At 41.1% G+C, this 20,131-nt stretch overlaps 1 protein-coding gene across 4 annotated transcripts in view; it reads left to right on the forward strand.

Annotated features, from left to right (window-relative positions):
* The window catches only part of BMPER (BMP binding endothelial regulator), a 251,513-nt gene that overhangs the window by 132,640 nt on the left and 98,742 nt on the right, over positions 1-20,131 (forward strand). For 3 of the 4 annotated variants that reach the window (NM_133468.5, NM_001365308.1, NM_001410872.1), the window contains 3 exons: positions 8,752-8,851; positions 14,307-14,416; positions 17,609-17,749. In NM_133468.5, the coding sequence (NP_597725.1) occupies positions 8,752-8,851; positions 14,307-14,416; positions 17,609-17,749 (351 nt within the window). The remainder of the gene's footprint in view (positions 1-8,751; positions 8,852-14,306; positions 14,417-17,608; positions 17,750-20,131) is intronic. The other variant, XM_047419939.1, reaches the window with a different exon arrangement.

Raw genomic sequence — 20,131 nt, forward strand, 5'->3', positions numbered from 1 at the left:
TGCAGGGCTCTGTAGCCTGGGCCAGAGGGTGCCTGGCCAAGTCCCACAGCTTAGTGGGAACTTCAACTTAAGGGGTTGGTGCTGGCCAGCAAGACTGGCATAGCGCCCCTGAAAAGACCTGTTGGCAACAAAGACAGTTTTCTTACTTCATTAACACCGAAAGTTGCTCCTGAAGCTGTCCATCAGCGCTTATAATTTGCCTATGACAAAAGGAGAGGGCGAATAAGACGAAAACATTGGATTGTCTGGTTTGAATTTCACCTTCTAACTAGACATGGGTGCAGGAAGAAGAAAAAATAAGTGGATGTGAACTTACTCAGATCGCAAGCCATAAGACCAGGATTTAAATCGAGCTTCTTGGCTATCTTTTCCTTAGGAAAGCATTAGAAACACTAGCTTTTTTGGTGAGGTGTGTTGTAGTCACATTAGGCCTGAAATATGACATTTGGGACTACACAGAGAAATTAAATGTCATTTATTTAATAATAATTAGGGTAGGCAGAATAATGCATCCCCTGGCCCCAAGATGTCCATGTCCTAATCTCCAAAACCTGTGAAGGTGACCTTACATGGCACAAGAGACTTTGCAGATAGGATTAAGTTAAGGACCTTGCGATGGAGAGGTGACCCTGGATTCTTTGGGTGGGCTGCCCACTTACAATAGTACTTATAAAAGGGAAGCAGGAGGGTCAGAGTCGGAGGAGATGTGATGATGAGCAGAGAGCACAGTCAGAGGGAGGTCTGAAGGTGCTGCACTGATAGCTTTGAAGATGGAGGAGGGGGCCATCAGCCATGGAAGGCAGGCTGCCTCTGGAAGCTGGAGAAGGCAAGGAAACAGATTCTTCTCTAGAGCCTCCAGAAGGAATGCAGCCTGCTGATACCTGGATTTTAGCCCCATGAAACTGATTCCAGACTTCTGACTGTAAGAAAATAAGTGTGTGTTGTTTTAAGACACTCCATTTGTAACTTATCATAGCAGCAATAGAAAACTTAATAAAATAATATAAACAATAATAACAATAATGCAGTTATACTTAGAAACATTAATTGGCATGCAAAATAAAAGGAATTTGTTTCAGGCTTGGTTCTCAAGACAGGGCATTAGTTCATAGTTCTCTTAATAGGTCGTGAAGTACAAAAGGGTTTTTGTTTTTGTCAGCCCCATAGACCCTTTCTCAGGGGTCTTTGTTTGCTATTTTTATGGGATAAAATCAGTGTCTTCATCGAGCTTTGCTGACATGTTCTTGAATATCTATGTATAGAATCAGAGTTGAGTTTTATTTCATCACTTGGATACCAAAACTCATATGTAGCCATATGTCCAGGTTTTGGGGGTCAGAAAGCTTCCAAGATCCTCACAAATTTTTATGATAAAGCCTGCATTGGTTTCAGCACAGACTCCTTGGAGAAGCACAGTTCTACCCTGTCAGCTCTGATCACAGCTCTGTCTCCACCCGCACTGTTTCTCGCTGACCTCTTCCTTCACAAGCCTGAAGAAAAGTGGCTTCCAGCCACCAGGGAAGTGAATTGAGGCCTGTTCTTCTCTCACTGAGAACTGTTCCACTTGAAAAATGGGCTTCATCCTTCAGAACACTTGTCTTGAGCACATGTTAGAAGCTATGATGTGTGCTAGCTGCTGGGGGAATGAATAAGATAAATAAGCTTTAAGTCTTACTTACTGGAAGCTCATGCCAGTGAAGCATTTGGCAAAGCACAGTGCCTTGGACAGAGGCATTTAATTCATCCAGGAAAGTTATTAAAAATGCGCATTCCTGGACTGTGGTTTGAGGAATCATTGGCCTAGTACTCTAGTTCTCAACTGGAGGTGATTTTGTTTCCCAGGGGACATTTGGCAATGTCTGGAGACATGCTTCATTGTCACAATCAGAGAATGAAGGGTGCCACTGCCATCTAGCAGGTAGAGGCCAGGGATGCTGCTGTACATCCTACAGTGCATAGAACAGCCTCCAAAGCAAATAATCACCTGACCCCAAATGTCAGGAGTGTGAAGGTTGAGGAACTCTAATCTAGTGGGTAAGACACACAAATACACACACACACACACACACACACACACACACACACACACTTATACCACTGTGGTGTATACATGCCCAGATGTATCCTACTATAGTGTGTGTATATGTGTATGTATATGTATATGTATATATGTGTGTATATCTATATAAACACCTCTGTTAATGTTTTTAAAGTATTATATGCTCTGGGGCAGTAAGTGCACTGCCCTCTAGCTCTGTCTGAGAAATCTAGGGTGGGCTGAAAGCTGAGTTCCCACACTTGGCAGCTCATCAGGAACACATCTTGTATCAGTCAAGGTCTCATCAGGAGGCATAAACCATACCAGTTATTTGAAAATAGAGGATTAAATATAAAGAACTATTAACTAGGTAACTGAATGGCAAAAAGAGAATTCTAAGTTATTGTGACAATGCCACCTACTAGATGATACCACCACCTCTAGGGTCGGGGAACAATGGGATGAGAGTAGAATTATTAAAACTTAGAGGAGGGGCTATGTGGAGCTGAAATTCAGACTTCTGAGGAGGGAGTGCCAGCTGGCTGGAGTAGAATGTTGAGATGAAGCTGGTTTTACTTGCATGAAATGTTGGAAAATCTCTAAACTGGGTTCAGTTGCTGATGTGGGAAGGAAGTGCTGCTGCCTGGTGAAGAAGCATTAATGGGGACAGGAGGCCAAGGGAAACAAACAGAAGGAACCAGTCCCTTATCTGGTGCCCCTATAGGCAGAGCCTATCTTGGACTAAGCTAGCAAAGCAGAAATGTGGCATGCAGAGCCTCAGCTTCAACACCAGAAAGCAAAGTGCGAATTAGGTTGTGTGGGTTTGGAGTCCAGAGACAATAGCTTAGTGACGACTGAGACATAGTTGCAGCTTTAATAAAATACAGTTGCCTGGGTTCTGCATTAGAATCTTGGACATGAAGCTGTCAATAATTTTTTTTTTTTACAAGAGTCCTGTGGGTGATTCTGACCCACTGCCTAGATTGAGCACCCTGAATAGAATGAGGAGCCACTAAAAGTTTTAAAGCATGGAAATGGCCCATTATTATTTGTAGATTCAAAAGCATGTTCTTTCAACTGAGTGGAAGAGGTGAGTAAAGGTCCTGTGTTAGTGGATTATAAATTAGCTATGGGGATGGTGAACACTTTATCTTCTTCCTAAGAGCAGAAAGAGAGAAGTCCCAAACTTTCAGATTTCCATATTAGGGGCATCTTGTTTAAAATGTAAAAGAGGGAGAGAAGGAAAGAAGGGAGGTGGGAGGAGAAGACAACATGAAAGGAAAAAGCCCTGGAGGCAAAAGGTGATGCATAATTTGGATTTTATCTAAGTAAGTAACAAAAATGTGGGCAATATATTTTATCTAAGCCATTTTGATAAAAAGCAGACATAAAGCTACAACCAGCATCTACCAGGGAAGACACAAGAGACGTCTAGAAGGAGAGAAAGTTCTGGCCATCGCTTTGATTATACTTCACACTCCAGCTGAGAAATTGTGCTGTGGTCTTTGGAAGGAAAGGCCCTATTAGATGGAAATAACTCAGCTTGGATGTTAGAACTAAATTTACATTTCAACCCTGCCACTTACTTGTTGGGTGGCAGATTTTCTGAGCAATTTCTTTAAGGCTTAGAGGCTCATTCTCTGCTGTAGGGGTGACAAAAGCATGCCCACAGGGTCTTCTGGAGACTTACGTAAAATGATAAAAGTACCTAAGCACAGTACCTGGCACAACCCAGGCTTGTCACTCACTACCTATTGGAGGTGTCCTGTCTCCCCTTGTCTACTCTGCTACTGTCCCCTCAGTCTGCCACCTCATCTGCTGTCACTCTTCTGCTTTGATTTGTAGATTAGACTATTCTTTGCAGACCAAAAACAGGGAAAACCAAATCTGAAAATCTTTACTCCAGGAAGTTAAGTGTCATGCTCTGTAAACTTAGCAAGATACAGTTCTAGGCCAAAGTAAGGCATGGCTAAGGACATTCATGGTTTTTGGTGAAGCTTTTTGACCCAATTTGTAATTCAGACTGGTTGCTTTGCTCACATATCAACTTTTCATTACAGGCTGATGTGATGTAAGATTATGGACCACACTTAAATCCTTTGCACTAAAGACGTATTTCTCCCCTACACTGCCCCCTCCAACTTCTCTCTCTTTTCTTCCCACTTCCATCTCAGAAGCAACTCTAGAGAAAAAAATAGAGAACTCTATTTTTTTCCCCAAAGAATTTGGCATAGGAAAAATTGCTCTAGAATGTGGAAGAGTGTAGCTGAGTCATTGTAACGGGTTAGCACTGCACTACTCTGCTCCCAGCCTCTTGTTAGGGAGCCAAGCTCTGCTCCTGTTTGGGAGATGAGTGCCACATCACACGCTACAAGGTGGTTTTCAGCCCCCAAGTCTCACTGGGCACTCAGCTGTTGGAGAAGCATCGTGTATGCACATGGCTGTTGTTTTATCGTCTTGAACCCATCACTATATTCAGGAAGATAGGTTTTTATTATGCCACAAACCTGCTGCTCTAGGTAAACTTTTACATAAAGCAATTGTGTTCTTAATGGAATCATCTAAAACAAAAATAAAGGAGCGGAAATAGACTTGGCATAGGTTTCAGATCTTTCTTTTTAAAAAATAGCTAATTTTTGAGAGAAGCACTTGGATATGCAATTTGAACAAATGACCATCTCTCTAAAGAATAAACTTACCTTTCTAAGGAAAGGCAGATGATGAAAATTATGACACACAAGTACAATGAAAGTTCCTAGCATTTCTTTTCTTGCTGACCAGATAAGAATACAGTCATTTGTCCTTATGTATTTTAACCACTTAGGAATTTTCAAACATTTAACAAATACATGAGACATAGTTTTCAACTGTGCTTATAGGCATCCTACCAGCTTTACATGCTGAAATTGAATTTTCCTTTTTGATGTATTAACACCAACAAACAGTACCTAAAATGTGCAAAACACAAGGCTAGAATGTGTAAAACCCAATAAAACGCAACGGTAAGTGGATGAGACAGCCCAGAACTATGCCTGGACTTAGTTGTCATCAGCATCCTGTAGTTAAAGTGGTCTGAAATACTCATTCAGATTCTAGAGCTCATTCTGTGTGGTAGCTCTGCCTTTCATTCACTAATTTTTTATTGAGGTTTTGTTTCATTGCTCTTCTGAAGGATAGAAGGCACAGAGGACTGGCCCCTACCCCCAAGACAGTTTAGCTTGGAAGTAAAGTCAATGTCTCCTTACAGGATTGAGCCTTTATGTATGTGCCAAAAATTATGTATTTGTGTGCCCCAAATACAGGGGTATAGATGGCAACAGAGACATAGAAAGATGGAGGAGGTTACTAGGAACTGAAGGCTCTAGAAGACTTCACAGGTGAGAAGGGGCTTGAAATTGACCTTGAATGAAGCAGGATTTTGATAGGGGTTAATGATGGGGGTGGGGTTGTGAGAGATTGGAAAGAGGTATATTTAACGAAGATGGAAACCATAATTTATGTTTGGGGGCCATAAACTCTCTCTTTATGCTGGAGTTGGGAGAAAAGAAGATTGGAGAAGAGATTATGGAATGTTTTGACAAAGTAGGCTAATGAGATAATAAAGAACCGATGCATCTGAATAATGTAACAAAATGTATTTCTTGCTTGTTTCACAGTTCATTGCAGGGATCTGGCAGGTAGACTTCCATGTGGTAACCCAGGGAACCAGACTCTTTCAATTGTTTGTAAAGTTCATGATGCCTTCTGCATTTAGCTGGCCATCTGTCTAGTAGAGAGAAAAGTGAGAGCATGGAGAATTGATGTAGACCTATAAGTGTTTTGTATTATTTCCATCCATTTCCCATTGGCTAGCATTCAGTCATATGGGCACATCTCACTGCAAGAGAGTCTGGGAAGTGTAGCATAGCACTGTCAAAAGAAAAAGGCAACCGATTTTGGTGAACACATGGTCTCTATTATATTGGCTTTTAGCTCGAGTGGGTTGAACTTTATCCTGGATGAAGTGGCAGGTCATCCTCAACCTTAGCAGGGGTGGGGCATGCTCATGGGTCATATACACTCCTTAAAGGGGATGATTTTTGTCTTATATTCACTGCTGTATCCCCAGGATATGATAGGCCTTAAACAAATGTTTAATAAAATAATGGAATGATGGATAGATGCTGGAAAGAAGGCCTGGTCACATTGAACCTTCCAGGATGGATTAGTGAAAGAGAGTTGAGGCAGAGAAGCCAATCAGAAAGCTACTGCGATCATCTGATAGTACATTTACAGTAGGAATTTGTTCAGTTTTAGAAACAGAAATGTTTACTTCTGTGATTTTACTCTCTTAGCCTATAGCATAGCCACAGATTATAGTTTAATCAGAGTCCCTGCTGAGTTGAAATCTTAGAAGCAGGTTGTGAGCTGCAACTGTGTTCCTAGGAAGGGCCTGGACTTTCTTTGGAGGCATTAATTGGAATGCAGCCTCTGGACTTGGGCTTTGCCACAATACTGCAAACCAAACAAAATAAAACTTGACTAAACCAGCAAACCCAGATTGGAGTTCAAGTTACTTTAACGGACTCTTGGGAAGCACAAACTGCAGTTGTATTATGTATGCAAAATTTGCTCTTTGTCCTTATTGTAAGGAAAATTACTTCAGTACACATAATCTTTTGCCAGCTTTCCAAAGCACTGGATGAGTTACTCTTTTGCAATTGTGCAATATTTTTTAAATTTCAATTTTAAAATATGCTTGAAAAATAGATGCTGATCCAACAAGAACAGAGAATATGAATGAAAAGAATGTATTCTCTGTGCACCTACAAGAGGCCAGTACATAGGCAACCTTGTGTGGCCCGAGGCTTCAGGATTTTAGGAAGTTGCTTGCAGATGAATTTCTTTGAAATTAAAAGCTAAGGGCAGCATCTTGGGTCCTCCCTCTTGTGCTTCATGTCTAAGCTGGGGCTGACCCCAGGGCCTGGCCACGATTCAGGTTACATGCCCCTGAAGTCTGATGAAAGGCCTCTAACTTTAATATTATGCAGGGTTGAGTGAGGAATCTCAGAGCAGCCTGGGATTCTGGGGAGATTTTTAGTGATTCTTGTTGATTCGGAAATAATGTAAAAACAACAGAAGAGCTTTTTCTGGTATTTTCGCATGTTCTCTATTGGTTTGGGGGAAGAATCCAACATTAAAGAGGTGAAAAAAAATAGCAAATATTTTAAAAGACATATAACATGCCCTCCCCTTTTCATCCATCCCCACCAGAAAATAAACTGTTATAATAAAAATGGCGAGAACAGGAAGGGAAAACAGAAACAACAGGCGGCCACAGTGTGCTGGGATGGGAACGGACAGGCCCCTGGTGGCTGAGGCTAACTCTGCTATGGCCAGAAAGGAGTGGGGAAGGTGTGAGGAAATGCATCAGATGGAATCTTTCCCTTGTGGGGTCCACAGCTCTTTGAGCTGTGAGTTTCTCATTTCCTGAGGCCTCTTGAGATATAAATTATGCACTCAAGACAAGCAACCTGCGGGTACTAGTTTGGTTTCTAGCTCAAATCCCAGAGAAGCGAATTCATTGAAATTCCACTTGCTGAGTGATCTATTTACCAAATTCACTGATTTTCTTAAGAAAGAAAAGAAAAGAAAACCTCAATTATTTATAAATTTTCATAACAATTTCTATTGCATAGGATAGTTTTCACATCAGCTTTGCCCGTTGGACGTAAATCAACTGGAAAACCTTTTTATTTCTACCCCAGCTTTCTGAATATGAAGTTACAACTTAACTGGGGCTGGGGAAGCAGGCACCTCTGGTGAGGGATAGGAGGGGAAGTCGTCAGACTATATCCTTAGGCAGGGAAGAGGGGATGCTGAGGTTAAACCAGGAGGGCAGTGGATGTTGGAGGTATGGAGTGCTGGAGAACAGAAAGGGTCAAGAATGAGAATGAGGGGGCAGGGAAAATATTCAGAGACTCCATAACTTCTCCAAATAGGTTTCTGAGACTCTGCCAGTTCGTCTCATATCAATCTTTATAATCTTATAATTAATTAGTGAAAACAGATTTGGATAGCGTGGTGAATTCAGTGAAATAGTTCTTCTGAATATGGGCTTTCAGTGTATCCATTTTCAGCAGGTTGGCCACTTCATCTACCTGGAACCTCCTTGAGCCATTTTAGCAGCACCTTCCAGCTGTGGCAGATACCGAAGCCTTCCTGGAGGAAGATGTCTACAGAACCTATAGAAAGATGGGTGACTGGAAGATAGGAGGAAAAGTCTCAAAATGCCAAAGCGTTCCTTTGCTTGCTTGGCAGGATAGAAAGAGAAGGCAGTGACCTATTAGGATGGTCCACTCATCCTGGTTTGCATGAAACTTTCCTGGTTTTAGTACTCAAAGTTTCCAATCCCAAGCAAACAGAGAGAGTTTTGATCATCCTATACCTACTGTAAAGGTGGTTTTGAGATGCAAAAAGATAAAGAAAAGTGGTGATGGGTGAGAGGAGGTGATGCTGGAATCACCTCCTCAAAGGCAGTCTTTTTGCAGCTGCAATTTGTATGGCCTACAGGGAAGATCAAAGGACGCTTGGGGAAAATCACATGGGCCTGAGCAGTCAGTCTAGGGACCTAATACTATGGAAGGGCCTTAGGTTTGTTCTAGATATCTTGGTTGTACAATCTACATGCACTTACTTTTCTAAATATGCTTTTTTTTTCTCTCTTTTCTTAGGGAGGCAGGACACAATGTGTGAGAGAAGTCTGTCCCATTCTCTCCTGTCCCCAGCACCTTAGTCACATACCCCCAGGACAGTGCTGCCCCAAATGTTTGGGTGAGTTACTATTTTCAGGTCAAAGAACAATGTAATTTCTTCTCAAAGTTTCTGCTGGGAGTGTTTATCCACGTTGTTGTTTTGAGATTCTCAAGTTGTCCTATTTCGTGGCTTGTTAGAGACAACTCCCTCTTCTAATTACAGAAGTGGAAGGTGTGTACAGGGTTTGCTTCTTAACGGAGACCTCCAGGGAGGCTTCTCTCTTGTCCTCACTTGCATCTGTAACTGGGTACACCAGATGACCTGGGGTAATTCTCCCTTGTGGTGAGAAAGTATCAAAGAAACTATCTTTAATAGGGCATATGCCTATTAACAGGAACATATTTTAAAGGTATTTGAAGTAAACCCATAGAGGAATATAGACTAGTGTTACTTTCAGAGTCAAAACCATGCAGGAAGAAACACATGCAAGAAAATGAGAGTTTTGGAAGGAAATAGTGAATAATAGCCAACAGAAAGAGAGTATGTTCTCTTTCTTATTGAACATTTAATAGGTATTAGGCACCATGCTAGGCACTTTATTTTTTTTTTTTTCTCATTTTATCTTCTTAAGAAGCTGTGAAATGTAGGTACTAAGTATATAATTCCTATGTGTAATGAAGGTGCTATTATTAATTTTATTATACTGAAAAGGAAGTAGATTCCTTGATGGCAGCCCAGCGAGTGGGTTGTGGATTTGATATCCGACCACAAATCTGTGTGATTCCTGAGCCCAGCTCTAACCTGCTGCAGCTCACCTTCCCTGGTGTCACAAGAGGGCTGCATGCATGTTGCCAGCTGAAAGGGGACAACTCATGATGGGTATTTTCTAGAGCATGAGGTTCTTTGGCTTTTGCTTATATGCTACCTTCTTCTTCTTCTTCTTTTTTGTTTTTTTATTTTTTTATTTTTTTGAGACGGAGTCTTGCTCTGTTGCCAGGCTGGGTACAGTGGTGTGATCTTGGCTCGCTGCAACCTCCACCTCCTGGGTTCAAGTGATTCTTGTGCTTCAGCCTCCCAAGTAGCTGGGACTACAGGCACGTGCCACCACACCCAGCTAATTTTTGTATTTTTAGTAGAGACAGTGTTTCATCATGTTGGCCTGGATGGTCTCGATCTCCTGACCTTGTGATCCACCCACCTCAGCCTCCCAAAGTGCTGGGATTACAGGCGTGAGCCACCATGCCCAGCCTATGATACCTTCTTAATGATTCCTGGGCTCTTGAGCAAGTTGAGGTCAGACTATTAAGTTTCAAATAAGTATGGTGGCTTGAGCCACCATGCAAATACAATAGAAACTCCAGCAACCTCCTTAGAATCTCCAGGGATCCTTGAGGGGCTAATATTTTCCCTAATCGCCTCTGGCTTGGTGTTTCTGCTCCTGCTATTTCTCTTGATTTTCTTTCCTTCCTTCCTTCCTTCCTTTCTTCCTCACTTTCCTACTTTCTTGCTTTCTTTCTCTTTCTATCATTTTGTCCTTTTAGAGGCATCTCCCCTTAAGTCTGTTTACATCCTGTGATGGAGAGCAGATTTCGCTGAGGGTTTGCAGTCAATAAGAGTGATTATTTTACACAGAAGCATATTGAACAAAATAAAATGGGATATTAAGCGCTCTCGTTCTTAAAAGGTCTTAGTTGTTTTGCCTTTGTGAGAATTTTACTGATTGTCCCTTCTATTTGAGCTCCAGCCTCCTGTCCGTTAATGCCCACGCCTTTTTCTTGAATCCTCTCTCCTTTCTTTCAGAGTTTACTGTCTTCAACTCTGAAACAACCTGTTGATTTATTTTTCTCGTTCCCAAATTAGCACAGCCATACCATGAAGTCTATTTTTTTATGACCAAGTTGACAAATAAAGGTATTTTTTAAAACTAGGAGCTTTCTCCTCTTTGATGGCTTCTTCTGCTAACTTCATCTAACAATGCTTGCCTTCCTGCTACACACACACAAACACACATACACCTGCTACACACACGTACACACACACACATGTTTAAAGTAAATGTGAAACAGAAGAACAAAGCAGAATTGCTTAGACATGCCTGATTAAAGACATTTTCACTTCTGTGTGTTCTGTTTGGGTTGCCAGTGTGTGTCAGTGTCCCTGGGATAGGGTTAGCCAGTTCAGTGTGGCACAAATCATCATGCTGTGGGCCATGGTGGAAGCAGTGGCCACTTAAGCAGGAAAGCCATTGCAAAGGAGGTGACATTTGGGTCTGGCTCCAAAGATAAGTAAGCTTGATTCATGCTTTGAAGCTGGTACTGTGGATACGCTGAGTCAACTCAGAAGCTTCCCATATGAGCAACAGCTACTGTATTGAATGCAGGTTTTTCTGTTCATTTATGGTTATAAGGCATACTACAAAAGGAACAATAAGTTTTAAGAAACTTGAAAATCTCTTTTTTGGTTGGGCTAGACCCCCATGGAATGACATGGAAATGTCTTAAGTCAGGCTGTACACAAAGTCTCTGAACCACTCCCTCGAATGTTTTATCTTATGTTGGACCATGATGACTTTGGGATTAAGGTTAAGATTTTATGCTCTTTGAGGGTAAAAACAAACATCCCCACACAGCAAGAAACAGAGACAAAAAAGCAAACAAACACTGGGATGCTTTCTAGATGCTGAAATCTTAGTCTAATTAGACTTTAGATGATTGGGTGCTGTTTTGCTCTTAAATTTTCCCTTGGGCAGGGTTCATTCACATGATATACCTCTGCCTTTTGCATTACAACATTCCTTTCCTTGTTTTCCTCATTCTCAATGGAGAGTCTCAGCACAGGTCAGTGTACACAGAGCAGCACCCAGTGCACTCTAATTGACACAGCCCAGGTTCATATTTGAATTATATCACCTCTAATAATCATAATACATACCATCTGCCATTTATTGAGGATGTGTAATGAATATCAGGCACTGCTCCAAGAGCTTTATATTCACAATTTTAGGTAAAATTTTCATTTTAGTGAGGAAGAGTTTAAGCGATTGGTCACATTTGTTCAGGGGGATAAGCACATTGAAGAGTCTGTTTGTCAATCAGTCAATAAATCAATTGATCAATAGACCCATCCAGCCATTCCTCCACCTGTGGAACAATATTGCCCGCTATAATGGTAGTATAGGCAACAGGCTATGGGAATGCAGAAAGGGGTCATTAACTCTAAGCGGTAGAAGGGCCTCTGCAGAAACAATGTGGAGCTCAGTCATGAAGAAGGTGCATTTTGATTGGTGGAGGATGAAGCTTCTACACAGAGCTCTGTATCTATCTATTCATTTATCTTCTGCCTTTTGCCAACAAGGATTTAAGACCACTTACAAAATACATGAAGCACATGTAGATAAAGGATAGTAAAAAGGCAAACCAGATTATCACAATTAAAAAAAATTACTCAACTGAAGCAGAGATATTTTAGATTATTAAAGGACAGAAATATATCTCTGATGGACTGATTAAGAGGAAGATAATATTTAAAGCAGTGAAAAATGACTTCACCATCATTTTTATAGTAAATACAAAAAATAACTGCTCATTCATATTTCTTATTATAATGTCCTAAAACTAAGGTGCAATTAGACAGAAGTGATTATAATGGGATGGGCAAAATCTATGTGATCCAGGCTGTGCACAGCTTTCTGATGCCTCAGGGTAAACCTATTTGGGTTTCTTAGGGGAATATTTAGGGAAAGAATGAATTTTTTTATTTTGCAGATAATCCTTTAATTTAGTATGTCAGTTCTTAGGAAGTTCAAGAGACTTAAGACCTGGGTGTGCACATAATACCTGCGTTAGTTGGGGAATTAACAATCATCATGCTAAATCATGCCTAGTCATGAAAGAGTTTTTGGTTGTATGCTTTAATATTAACACCATAGTTAGAGGTAGTGACATGGCAATGTGGTATTGATGATGCCATTTTATGAGTGAAGTCAGTGAGGCCTGGAGAAATCATACTCAGTGGTCACGAGGGAGTCCATATGTAAGATCCAAATTATAACTCACTTCCACCTTTTGAGGGCCAACAAGTTTGCTCTTGGTGGTGAGAACCAAACTAATGATTTAGTTCTGCATCTATATTGTATCCTGGCCTTGAGGTTGGCTATGATAGGAAGACAGCATGTTTTTCTTGACTCCTACTAACAGTTATTCCAACAACTCTAATTCTGAGAACAGTGTTTAGTATGTTTAGGTATTTTGAGCATTTCATTGGGCCTACTGATAAACAGAAATTGCTATTAATCTTTTACAAGAAGAAAGAGTGGTACGAATAGAAATTTGATCAGTGAACATGAATTAACTTAGTCTTTAATTAAAGTAACATTGCAGAGATGTTTTAATGTGCTTCAAAGAGTAGAAACTCAATTATTAAAAGAAAGGAGGAAATTAGATTGTACTCTTTATTTGGGATTGCTGTTTTGGTCCTTTTGTTCACCAATCTGGTTCTCACATTAGGGAAAACCAAGCCAGTTCTACAGAGATACTATGCCTATGAAAGGCTGGACACTCGACATGTACCTCTGCGTGCCCTTTGAGTTAGCTTCACCCTTTATTCCTTTATGTAATTTCATAACTGAAATGCTATCTTAGTCTGTTTAGTCTACTCTAATAAAATACTATAAACTCTGTAGCTTGTAAACAACAGAAATTTATTTCTCATCTTGGAGGCTGGGAAGTCCAAGAACAAGGTGCTAGCAGATTTGCTGTTTGGCTCATAGTTGGTGTCTTCTTACTTTGTTGTCACGTCGTGGTGAGGGTTCTCTCTGGAGCCTCTTTTATAAGGGCACTAATCTAAGTCATGAGAGCTTTGCTCTCCTGACCTAATCACCTTTCAAAAGCCCCACCTCCTAATACCATTACATTGGTGATTAGAATTTACCATATGAATTTTGTGGAGACACAAATGTTCAAACCATAGCAAACAATATTTCATTAGCTCCTTTTGCTCATTCGAGACCTTCTTGAGATATGCTGATTCCTCCTACCTCCACCCACCTCCCCCACTGCCCATACCCAATTTTTAGATAATTTTACTCATTCTTTAAGAAGCTCCTCAGGCATTATATCTTCCAAGAATTCTTCTCTGACCTCCCAATTCCCACAGTTTCTAGATCGTCTTTTTTCCAGAACTTACCTTACTGTTGTATTGAAACAGCCTTTGATGAGTTTGCCCTTTCACTAGACTGTGAGCTCCATGAGGGGAGCTCATGTCTTAGTGATTTTGGTTCACTGTGATGAACACATTATAGATTTGTTGAACTTACAAGCTTCATTGTGGAATCAAACTCTTTTTTAACAAACTTTATCCCAACTAATGACTCCTGGGGATCCTTTAGGCATGTCTGACCCAAGACTCTATTTTTGTGCTCCAGACTTACGTGGTCTTATAAGAATGTATAATGGACCTATGATGGAATCACCGATGACAAAATGGGACATCCCCGATTCTGTCTTACTTACACTGTGCTTCTGTTTCTCTCTAGGTCAGAGGAAAGTGTTTGACCTCCCTTTTGGGAGCTGCCTCTTTCGAAGTGATGTTTATGACAATGGATCCTCATTTCTGTACGATAACTGCACAGCTTGTACCTGCAGGGTAAGGCAGCTCTGAGAGGCTGTGGTCCAGCAATGATAGGGTTTGGGTTTCAGTGTTAACATCACAGCCATAGCCAAAGCCAATGGTGTGTTATTTATTGGGAGGAAGCATTAACAATGCCATTTTACAAGGAAAATCATACTCAAGGTCACCAAGGACTTACACATAGGACCCACACTATAGCTCAATCATCTTCTAAGGACCAAGAAGTTAGCTCCTTGTAGTGAGAATCAGGCTCCAAGGGCCTGTTCTGAGGATTTTCTAAAATCAGACAAATACATACGGCTGTGCCCTCTGGCTCTAATTATCCAAGATGAATTCTCTAACACACCTGGCAATAAAAATTGCTTTTAATCACATTCAAGAGAAGAGAAAGGCATGGATTTACAGTTCATCACAAAGATAAACCTGGCAGTTTAGGAAGAGAGTATTTATGTGCTGTTTATTGTATCATGTCTTATTTGAAGCTTTGCTCATTTTTCTCAAAAGGCAACCAGAAGTCTAATTACTGCTAAAGAAAGAATTCCACAGCTTCAGAATTTTAAAGGGACACACATCACACATTCATAGACTGTACTTATGCAGTAATTTATTTTGGAAACCAAGAAGAAATACATTTATCAGGGAGGACTTTAGGATTATTCATTAGTGAGTTAATGAATCACATCTGTCTGACAAGTTTAGAATACACTTTGGTGGTGATGGTTGTTGTTGTTTGTTTTTAATAGTTAAAGGTCGGGAGAGGGAAAGAGGGGAGCTCTACTCAATATCAGCTATGAGTCAATAGCTGGGATTAGAGCTCAGTAGTTCTTGATTACATGCTTTGTTCAGTAGCATGCACCACTTCAGCGGGTGGTTGGTTAAGGGCTGAACTGTCCGTTCCCTTGAACACCAAACATGGAGTAATTCCTAAGCCTGAGAATACTTTACCGAAGCTTTTTCCTCCTCCCATGGTTTGTGTTATCCTATGCTAAATGTATAGCACCCGCTTCTTGCCTTGGCCTTCATCCTCAGGACTTTTCCTCTCCACTAAGAATTTCGCAGGAGATAGCTTCCTCTTGGGGATACTGAGCCTTTGATGAAACATATCACACTCCCAATTCTCTTGCTCACAGGAAAGCCTGGCATCCCATGAATGGGATTTAGTTATGCTTGCCGTGCTTTGGGTTCATGGGTTCCTTGAGAGATGATTAGGTAATACGTCTCTGTGCGTAGCAGGAAGTATAATTAATACTCTTCCTCCAAAAGGGTGTTTTACTAGAGTATGAATTCACAGTCATCTTGGGGATATTAAATGCTTGAAAAATCAAGCTGCAATCATTTTGAGTAATCAGTATTATTTTCTGTCTGCTTTGAGCTTCCCTTTCTAGCATCCCCATCCAGTGTTTCTTATGATTTCCATGGCAGGTGCAGGAACCTGTTGAATGTGATTTAATACAGTTGGCTCTTCGACAGTGTGGGTGCCGGGGCATTGATTCCCTGTACCGTTGAAAATCCATGTCTAATTTTTGACTCCTTATAGACTTAACTAATAGCCTACTGTTGACTGAAAGCCTTACCAATCATATAAACAGTCAATTAACACATATTTTGTATGTTCTATGTATTACATACTGTATTCTTATAATGAAGTAAGCTAGAGAAAAGAAAATGTTATTTAAAAAATCATAAGGAAGAGAAAATATATTCACTATTTAATAAGTGGAAGTTGATTATCATAAAGCTCTTCATCTTCTTTACATTGAGTAAGCCGAAGAGGAGGAGGGGTTGGTCTTGTCTCAGGGGTAGAAGAGGCAGAGGAAGTGGAAGGGGAGGCAGGAAAGGCAGGCACACTTGATGTAACTTCTATTGAAAAAATTTCTGAGTGTAAGTGGACCCATGCAGTTCAAATCCATGTTGCTCAAGTGTCAATTGTAGTTTTCTGCATGCAGGATGGTTTCAGATCTCTGTGCCTTCAAATTGGACAATTTATCTACCAGCAATGTTATTACCATCTTTAAATTTGATTAGCAGATGCTTCTTCATCCACAACAGCCTATCTCAGGTGTCATTCAACCTGAGAGGCTTTCCTGACTTACCTGGATAGGTAACTTTCCCTTGTCTTTGCTATCTTTACACCTTTGCTAGTTCTGTTTACCACATTATAATTGCAATTTGCTTGATTACACATTTACCTCCCTTCTTACATTGCGAAGAACTCCTTGAGGACAGAAGTACATTTATCCATCTCTGTATTTGTATTCTCATTGCTTAACATAGTGCTAGGCACCACAGTCTAATGATATGTACATAAAGCACGCTCTCTCTCTCCACACACACATACACACACATACACAATGAAAGCAGGGAGATCTACGGTGAAATATGCATTGTTTGAGAGCTAGGGAGTGCCCTTGTTTTTAAACAAGAAATCAAGATATGCAGTTTGACAAAGGATTTTTTTTTCCAATTGAAGTTGGTTTATAATAATTTCTATGTGCCAGGTATTTTACATTTAAGAGGCACAGTAAACCTGAGAAACAATAGGCAGAAGAGCACTTTTTTTTGAAATCAAATCACACTTCTTTAACTTACAGATGATACAAACTCTTCACCTTCAGTGGGTAAGTGGCCTGGTCAAAGTCACTCCACTACATTAGAGCTCTGGAACCCAGGTCCAGTTTTGAAACTGTTGGTTCAGTCCCTTGGTGAGCACAGAACACACTTGAGGAATCTTGTCCTGAGGTGGTGCCTTTGCTCTTAACTTTTACCCTCTGACCAAAGATATCATGCCTTTACGTTAAGTTCCAAAAGGTGGCATAAAGCCGTGGAGGAGACCCAAGAGAGCACTATTAGTGCAGGTTGCAAAGAGGTAGAGGGCAGGAAGAAGGAAACTGGTGGTTCGTGGGGAGCTGGGCGGTCTTGCCACATGCTGGTGGAGTGGGCTCATCAGTCTCTGGAACGTGAAATCATAAATCCTTGGGAGGTAGGGGTTACGTGCCATAGTTTCCACAGTGCCCTGATATTCTAGTCTAGATACTTAATCAACAAATCACAATTTGAAGTGAATGAAAGATTTATTGCAATAAATTAAAATAGGGTACCTTACAGACTTTGACACAGATAGTTATGAGTTATGAAAGGAAGGCCAGGTAGGATGTTTGGTAGAGGCGAAAATCATTTTTAATTTCTATTTTGCCTTTGGGCCCCCAGGACTCTACTGTGGTTTGCAAGAGGAAGTGCTCCCACCCTGGTGGCTGTGACCAAGGCCAGGAGGGCTGTTGTGAAGAGTGCCTCCTACGAGTGCCCCCAGAAGACATCAAAGTATGCAAATTTGGCAACAAGATTTTCCAGGTATGTCATGAGACAAGCACATGGGAACTCCTGTATTACTACGCTGACAATTAAAAAGCTCCAGACACTAGGCAGATTGGGTTATCCCATAATTTCTATATACATATACAAATGTATATGTGTGCATATATTAATAGAATGTATTTATATTACAGTATTATATATACATTTATAGTTAGAATCAAGTGCAGATAGGGGCAGAGAATCAACCGTCTGAAAGATGTTTTTCTTGACTATATTTTTGCTGAAATATGTTAAGCCTGTAAAACCTGCCTGAATACCTAGGAGTACCTCATCTCGTTGGAGATGCTCAATGACATTTGTCAAGGTGATGATCCTTGTCAAGATCCTGATGGATCTATACAGCTTGAAGCTTTTAGAAGTTTTTCACAAAGCTACCTTTGCAAAGAAAAATTTTCTCATTTGGAAGATATTCAGATAAGGATGTTAATAGTGTATGTAGTTGAGCCAGGTGAGAGAGCTCTGCCCAGCTGAATGGAAAAGGTTGTCTTTTGGCCATCTGTTACCAATCTCAGGTGTATTTTACATTATTCTCTGAGGACCCCAAGTGGGAAACAGTGCAATGGCCATTTAAACTTCAAAATGCAAGATGGTTGGCTTTGTCCAAAGTACCTCCTATCTAGTCCATTTTCCCTAGGGGTGGAAGGAGTCAAATCACTCTCTACCGAAGCTGTCACCTCATGATACCCATGAGAATCAAGACCCACATAAACAAGTCAGTTGTGGTAGCTCTGCAGGCATGCTGCACTGAGCCACACTTCCTATCACACTGAAGTAGTTGGAGGGAGAGGTCTTGGTTCTGATGGAATAGTAAGAAGACATGAAGTGTCGCATGGTCTCACTTATAAGTGGGAGCCAAATGATGGGATCATGTGGACATGGGAGAGGAACAACACACACTAGGGCCTGTTGGGGGGTAGGGTGGAGGGAGGGAGAGTATTAGAAAGGATGGCTAATGCATGCTGGGCTTAATAACTAGGTGATGGGTTGATAGGTGGAGTAAACCACTATGGCACACGTTTACCTATGTAACAAACATGCACATCCTGCACATGTACCCCAGAACTAAAAATAAAATAAAAAAAATTAAAAAAGAGAAAACAACTGAGGACAAAAAAACACATAAGGTGTCATGCCCAGTGAAGGGGGAGGCATGTGTGTTGTGTTTACATCAGACTTTCAGAGATGCTCATATGTCCTCTTGATATAAAGTCGCCTCCTCCTCTGTCTCCAGAACACCCAGATGAAATAGCCTCACTCTCACTCTCACCATGGTGCTGTGTGCAATGCACTTTTTTTTTTTTTTTTTTTTAGATGGAGTCTCGCTCTGTCGCCCAGGCTGGAGTGCAGTGGTGTGATCTTGGATCACTGCAACCTCCACCTCCCGGGTTCAAGTGATTCTCCTGCCTCAGACTCCTGAGTAGCTGGGATTACAGGTGCATGCCACCATGCCTGGCTAATTTTTGTATTTTTAGTAGAGATGGGATATTGCCATGTTGGTCAGGCTGATCTCGAACTCCCGACCTTGTCGTCCACCCTCCGTGGCCTCCCAAAGTGCTGGGATTACAGGCGTGAGCCACCGCGCCCGGCTGCAATACACTTGTAAGTCACCTTGTAAAAACGGTTCCTTTAAATGACTGAGGCTTAAAATAATTCACGGAGACTTGGATTCCTAGAAATGTGTACTCAGAGAACTTGGAACAGTCAGGTGTCCTTTAAGGCAGATTCAGTTAGGTCTTTCTTGAAAGGCACTAGAGGGTAGACAGTCCTTAAAATAGCTTCAAAAAGTCAGGAAGGGAAAGAGGCAGGGGAGTCATCAAATATCTCAACTGTTTCTGTTTTTAACAAAAATCTGCTGCTTGGATCTGCAAGCTCAGGAAGGAATCCTTGTTTTGTTTTCAGCCCAACTCTGTTGTCTGTGATCTTTTTTACCCACAAGCAAGGATGCACATCCCTGCCTGTCCTCCAGAGGTACAAGGGCTTTTTGTGGTATTTGGCATTCACAGATTATACCTTTCATGAGTGAAAGAAATTCCTCAAATAGCTCTTTCTGTCTGAGCAAGGATCTAGTCTAGGAAATGTGTCCCAAAATGCTGCCCTGCATTTTAAGAGGAGAGGACTAGATAGGCAGGGACAGGATATCCATGGCACTTGGAGTCTTCTCTCTGAGCTCTGCATTTTCAGTGGCTTGCCCATCAAGTGTCTGTCTGAGCACTGGGAGTCATTTGAATTAGCCTGTCTTCTATGCATGTCCTGTATGGGCCAGAACCATGGCACATCTGGTAATTAACCACCTCTGGACATCTCAATTAACTATTGGTGCTTGGGACAGCTTAAATATTTTAGTCTTATCAAACGGGA

Source organism: Homo sapiens, chromosome 7, assembly GCF_000001405.40.
Source record: "Homo sapiens chromosome 7, GRCh38.p14 Primary Assembly".
NCBI lineage: Eukaryota > Metazoa > Chordata > Mammalia > Primates > Hominidae > Homo > Homo sapiens.